At 39.0% G+C, this 6,737-nt stretch overlaps 1 annotated feature.

Annotated features, from left to right (window-relative positions):
- Positions 2,958-3,468: an enhancer, noted in NCBI's record as "OCT4-NANOG hESC enhancer chr16:51324751-51325261 (GRCh37/hg19 assembly coordinates)". NCBI's record gives its function as "activates a minimal SCP1, AML or CMV promoter by ChIP-STARR-seq in naive H9 embryonic stem cells {active_cell/tissue: H9 hESC(naive)}" and the evidence as "EXISTENCE:reporter gene assay evidence [ECO:0000049][PMID:30033119]".

Genomic DNA, 6,737 nt, shown 5'->3' on the forward strand with positions numbered 1-6,737 from the left:
CAGCCAGCCCCTGCCACAGAGCCTCATATCGCTGGCCTGAGCTTTGTTACCTGTGTGTTAGCGGGGCTGTCTCTGGAAGGTTCAGGTAGGCAGAGGGCAGATCTGCTGTCTTTAGATTTGTCTCTGAATCCAAATGACAAAGACAAGACTAAGATTCAGAAGTTTAATAATGTCATGGTTGAAATAGCAGCAATAGGCCAGGTGCAGTGGCTCACGCCTATAATCCCAGCACTTTGGGGGCTAAGGCGGGCAGATCACGAGGTCAGGAGATTGAGACAATCCTGGCCAACATGGTGAAACCACGTCTCTACTAAAAATACAAAAAATAATAATAATAATAACTGGGCGTGGTGGTATGCACCTGTAGTCCCAGCTACTCAGGAGGCTGAGGCAGGAGAATAGCTTGAACCCAGGAGGTGGAGGTTGCAGTGAGCTAAGATTGCGCCACCGCATTCCAGCCTGGGTGACAGAGCAAGACTCCATTAAAAAAAGAAAGAAAGAAAGAAAGAAAGAAAGAAAGAAAGAAAGAAAGAAAGAAAGAAAGAAAGAAAGAAAGAAAGAAAGAGAAAGAAAGAGGAAAGGAAAGGAAAGAAAAGAAAAGAAAAAGCAGCAATAGATAGCCCCATGAGACCTTTTATTTTATAAGTGGGAAAATGGAGGCTCAGGTAGTAGAGCGACACCCGTCCTGCAAGTGGTCAGGACAAGGCTGAGATTAGGCCTTAGGTCCCCTGGCTCATGGGAGCCATCCTTCCACCAGCCTTCCAGCCAGTCTGCATCCCTTTGTTCATGCCCTGGGGCTCTCTGTCCCTCTGTCCCCTACAGTTCATTCTCCAGACAGAAGCCAGAGTGATATTTTAAAATGTTGGGTCAACCCCCTATTTAAAGCTATTCTGTGACTTTTAATAGCAATCGGAATAAAACCCAACATTCTTATACTGCATGATACAGCCCCTGCCAGTGTCCCCAAACTTCTCATCAGAGCTCTCGGTGGAACCTGTTAGCTCTAGGCACAATGGCCTTCTTTTTGCTCCTTCGTCATGCCAAGCACCCACTTCAGGGCCTTTGCACCTGCTGTTCTCGCCATCTGGAAGCTTCTTCTCTGGAATCTTCTTATTGCTACATCTTTCTCACCACTCGATCTAGGCTTCAATGCCCCTTCCTCAGAGAGAGCTCCCAGACTGCTTATCTAATACAGCATCCCCCTGCCACAAGCCACTCTCAAGCTCATTGACAAGTTTTAGTTTAGAGGAAAGAAATCTTTCTTTAGAGCATTTAATACAGTTGGAAATAAAATATTTACCTGTTTATTTATAGTTTTTCTTTGCTCACTATTTGTCTGACTTAAGAGTGAAAGAGCTTTCTTATCTTTTTGTTCTCTTCTGCATGGAGTCATCATTCATACATTCATTCATTCACTCACTTATTCAGCTATATTTACTGGATTCACTTGTAACTGACAATTCCAAAGAAACCTACATTCCAGTAAAGAAAGTAAAATAATAAACACATGGGCAAATAAATGATAGATTATATTTCTTAGGATTGTGAAAAGTATTAAGTTTTTAAAATTTAAAATAGTTTATTAGTGTAAGGTTCTGAGCCCAATGCCTGGTACTTAGTATCTGCTTTGCAAACATTGAAGTTTTGTGCTAACTCAGCACTCGAGACTCTTAGGTAAACCTGTCTTCAATGAATTTATAGTCAAATGCAGGAGACTGATGTGTTTAAAGATAAATTATATTAGATGGGGCTACTATCTCTTTAGAGAGGTTAACTGAGGCCAAGAGGCCATTGATAAGATCATTGAGCCCGTTGGAGATGTTTGGACGAGCAGTCATGCCCAGCAAGAGGTTAGAGAAGATGACCTCTTAAGGCCTTCTGCTTGCCTGACCCTGTTTTGCTTGCTCCATGAGGTGGCTCCCATTTAGCCAGAGCTGTTTAAATGGGTGTAGACCATAGAAGGGGAAAATTACATGCAGTTACTCCTGCAACACTCATTTGCCTGCTAACTTGGTGCCATTTACAAATGGTTTTCACATAGTCTTTAAAGTAGGGCTTCTCAACCTGGGGGAAGAAATCTTGAAATTGCACGCATCATATTTAGTGGATATACAAGAAAATATATATACATTTTTTTGTTCCTGAGGAGAAGGACAATAGCTTCATCAGTGTTTCCAAGGCATTTTGTGTCACAAGCACCACTTAGTTAAGTTGACAACACTTAGGGTATTTCAGAATTATGAACCTATTTTCTAATTTTTTTAAAAATACAAGGCTTTCCTCCTAATTTGGGGTGAGATTTCTAAACCTACTAAATTCATATAGCTTTATATTTGCTGATTCAATAAATATTTATTGAGCAACAGGTAAGGCCCAGCATTGCTGAAGATTCTGTAAAAACAGCAAGGCCATGTCAAAGGAAGTTCCTGCTCTAAGGTTCCCTTCTGGGAAGCAAGGAGAGAAGAGACTAAACAAGTAAAGAAACATAAGATAACCTCAGTTGGTGCTAAGTGCTCTGGAGAAACGAAAGCTGAGTGATGCCATAGAGAAGGAAGAGGGCATTGCTTTCTATTGAATAGTCAGGGAAGGTCTCTTTGCCAAGGCAGCATTATAGCAGACACCTGAATTGACAAGATAGAGTCAGCTAAACAAAGATTCAGGAGAAGAATATTTCAGGCATTTTAAGCAAGACAATGGCTTATGCAAATGTTCTGAGGCAGAAATCAGCATGGTGGATTTCAAGGATGCAATGAGGCAGTGTGGCTCTAGAGTCATGAATAGGGGGAGAGGTGATATAAGATGAAGCAGAAACATAGGTGGAGGCAGGATCTCCTAGGGCCTGGTAAGACTTGATTAAGAGTTTGAATTGGATTTTCATGTCGTGGGAAATCACTGGAAGTTATTACCAAGGCCTCATAGTTTCCCATGGCATGCGATGCTTCTGACAATATGAATGTGTTCCTCTATTTGGACAGAATAGCAACACACCCTTATTCTTTTAAGAAGAGACCTTGGGTGTGACCTTCCCAATTGAGTTTAGAATATCACTTTGTATCCCATAAATATGTACAATTTTGTGTCAGTTAAAAATAAAACAAACCAAAATACCCTCACCAACAAGCCCTGCAGTTGAAAGATACTCCGCTAAGGTACGCTGAGAGAATGCAAGGCCAGCTGTGCTTCAAGAATGCAATCTTTTCTATTACAATGCAAAGCAGCTTAGCTCACCAGTGCCTTCAACCTCTGCATCATAGATGGGGAAAGTTGGTGCCACTCTGCATAAGCAGACAGCCTCTTAGAGCATTTTTCTCAAAATAAAGTTTATCTTTCCTCAGATTTTAAATGAACCTTTATTCTAGAAGAAAACAAATCAATAAAAGCATGCACATAGCTCTGTGCTTACATTTATAAAATTAATTTAGGAATGGTTTTTTTAAAAAGTTAGTGTAAAACAGGTCTATCCCAAATTGGGTCCTTTAGGAAGCAGACTCTGAGATAGAGATTATCAAGTGGGAAGTTTATAAAGGAAGACTCTTGAGATCGACGCCTGTGAGGGAAAATGCGGAAGCAGAATTGGGGCTGAGGGAGTGGCTGGGCTGTGATGCTGTCACAGTAATGCAGTGATTCCATGGGGACCTCTGAAGCTGGGCTGGCTCTTCAGAATGGTCCTTAGTTGAGTGAGGAAACCAGGACTTTACATCACTGCTCTAGACTAAATATCTTATGTAGACTACCTCTAGAAGGAAGGGACTTGGGCGAGGCAGCTTTCTTTAGCTGAGGCACTATCTGAAGAAGGCTGATAGCTGAGGACTGTCTAGTACTGTAGGCAGTAGCCCAACAGCTGGGGCAACGTTTTTCTTCTCCAAAGGTGGATCTGAGGGGGGAAATATGGGTGTAAAGTGGAAAAGAAAAGCATCCCTTTTCCCTACCTTTTATACTCTATCTACTCCACAGAGGAACCATATTTGATTGTTTCTATTTTTAGTTTCTCCAAGTTGATTTCAAATGTCCACATGCAATGCACACAACTCTACTTCTTGGTCTATGAATTCTGAACAGTGTTTGTCAGCTTCCTAATAAGAAAGATGAGGGTCTGAACTAATTCTCCTCATGTCCTCCTTCCAATTTTGTTAGGTATATTATTTCAAGTTTTTCTGTTGGAGGGCTTTATATCTGTTAAATAATGTATTTCTATTTTCAAATTTATTAACATTACATTGTATCATCCCTCTTGACATTGCAAGATTAAGGAAATTAGCAATTCTACATAGCCCTCCAACTTCCTTTAATTCCTGTTAGTCATATGATTATTTTCACATCGTCAGGGTTTATAACACTTTATGTTCTGTAAGTATAATCAATAATCAATATTTTCCTGTAAGTTAAAACCTGATAGACTGCAGTGAAAATATTATGATTATGTAAATACATTTGTTACCACAGGGTTTATCCTGTTATATGACCATAGTAAGGTAACATATTCATAGATTAAGGGATCAATATGTGGTTATCTTTAATGGGGGGCATTATTCTCTCTACCACATATGGTGATCCTCTATTGATAGAATCCTGTGTCTTTTATTGGTCTTTTTTCATTTGCTGTAGTATATTGTTAAAAAAAATTGAGGGAGAGATATGGAGGAAAAAACCTTGAGTCTTTATATGTCTGAAAAATATCTTTACCCCATCCTCTCATGATTTGTATAGTTGAACTCGGTATAAAAGTCTAGACTCAAACATTTTAAAAATAATGTTCAGATCCATCCATTTTCTTCCTGTATTCTGTATTATTTGTAACAAGTCAGATGAAGCTTTGTCTTTATAGATAACCTGTTCTTACTCTCTGTAACTTTTTATAAGAATATTTTGAAATGTGGGGTTTTTTTCCAATCCTGCACAGTATTTGGTGTTTCTGTTCAATATGAACTTTCATATGTAAAATATTTTCAGCTATATTTTTTATTTTTTAACAGCTTTATTGAGATATAGTTTTCATATGGGCATATCTTAGAGACATTGAAGGTTCAGTTCCAGACTCATAATAAAGCAAATATCACAATAAAGTGAGTAAAAAAATTTTTGTTTTCCCAGTGCATAGAAAAGTAATGTTTATACTATATTGTAGTGTATTAAGTAAACAATAGTATTATTTTTAAAATGTCCATACCTTAATTAAAAATATGTTATTGCTAAACAATGCTAACACTCTTCTGAGCCTTTAGTGAGTTGTAATTTTTTGCTGGTGAATTATCTTGCCTCAATGTTGTCAGTCAGATGGCTGCCTACTGATCAGGGTGGTGGTTGCTAAAGATTGGGGTGACCGTGGCAATTTTTTAAAATAAGACAACAGTGAAGTTTGCCACATCAGTGAACTTTTCCTTTCATGAAAGATTTCCCTGTAGCATGTGATGCTATTTGATAGTATTTTACCCATAGTAGTACTTGTTTCAAAATTAGAGTTAATCTCTTCAGACCCTGCCACTGCTTTATTGACCAAGTTTATGTATTATAATATTCTAAATCCTTTGTTGTCATTTCAACAATGTTTTTGGCATCATCACCAGGAGTAGATGCCATCTCAAGAAGCCACTTTCTTCACTCATACATAAGAAATAAGTTCTCATTCATTCGAGTTTGATCATGAGATTGCAATTATTCAGTCACACATTTTTGGGTTCTATTTCTAATTCTAGTTTTCCTTTCTTTTCTTTTCTTTTCTTTTCTTTTCTTTTTTTTTTTTGAAGCAGAGTCTCACTCTGTGGCCCAGGCTGGAGTGCAATGGTGCGATCTTGACTGACTGCAACCTCTGTCTCCCAGGTTCAAGCCATTCTCCTGCCTCAGCCTTCTGAGTAGCTGGGACCACAGGTGCCTGCCACCATGCCCAGCTAATTTTTTGTATTTTTAGTAGAGATGAGGTTTCACCATGTTGGGCAGGCTGGTCTTGAACTCCTGACTTCAGGTGATCCACCTGCCTCAGCTTCCCAAAGTGCTGGCATTACAGGCGTGAGCCTCCCTACTCATCTAATTCTAATTTTCTTAATATTTCAATGGCATCTGCAATTATTTCCTCCACTGAAGTCTTTAACCCCTAATACTCATCCACAAGCTTTGGAATAAACCTCTTCTAAACTGCTGTTAATGTTGGTATTCGTGAGTCATGAATGTCCTTAATGATATCTAGAATGGTGAATCCTTTGCATAAGGTTTTTAATTACTTTGCTCAGATCCATCAGAGGAATTACAATTTGCAGCAGCTACAGCTTTTTGAAACATATTTCTTAAATAATAAGGCTTGAAAGTCAAAAGTACTCATTGATCCATGGACTGCAGAGTACATGTTGTGTTAGCAGGCATGAAAACAACCTTAGTCTCTTTGTATGTCCTAATCAGAGCTCCTAGGTGACCAGGTGCATTGTCAGTGAGTCATAATATGTTGAAAGGAATCTTTATGTTCTGAGCAGTAGGTCTTAACAGTGGGCTTAAACTATTCACTAAACCATGTGTAAACAATTGTACTGTCATCTAGCCTTTACTCCACTTAAAGAGCAGGCCCAGCAGAATTAGCACAATTCTTAAGTGTCCTAAGATTTTTGGAATGGCAAATGAGCATTGGCTTCAACTTAAAGTCACCAGCTCCATTACTTCCTCACAGGAGAATCAGCCTGTCTTTTGAAACTTTGAAGCCAGGCATTGACTTCTCTTTAGCTATGAAAGTCCTAGGTGGCATCTTCTTACAA

The sequence above is a fragment of the Homo sapiens genome, chromosome 16, assembly GCF_000001405.40.
Source record: "Homo sapiens chromosome 16, GRCh38.p14 Primary Assembly".
Lineage (NCBI taxonomy): Eukaryota > Metazoa > Chordata > Mammalia > Primates > Hominidae > Homo > Homo sapiens.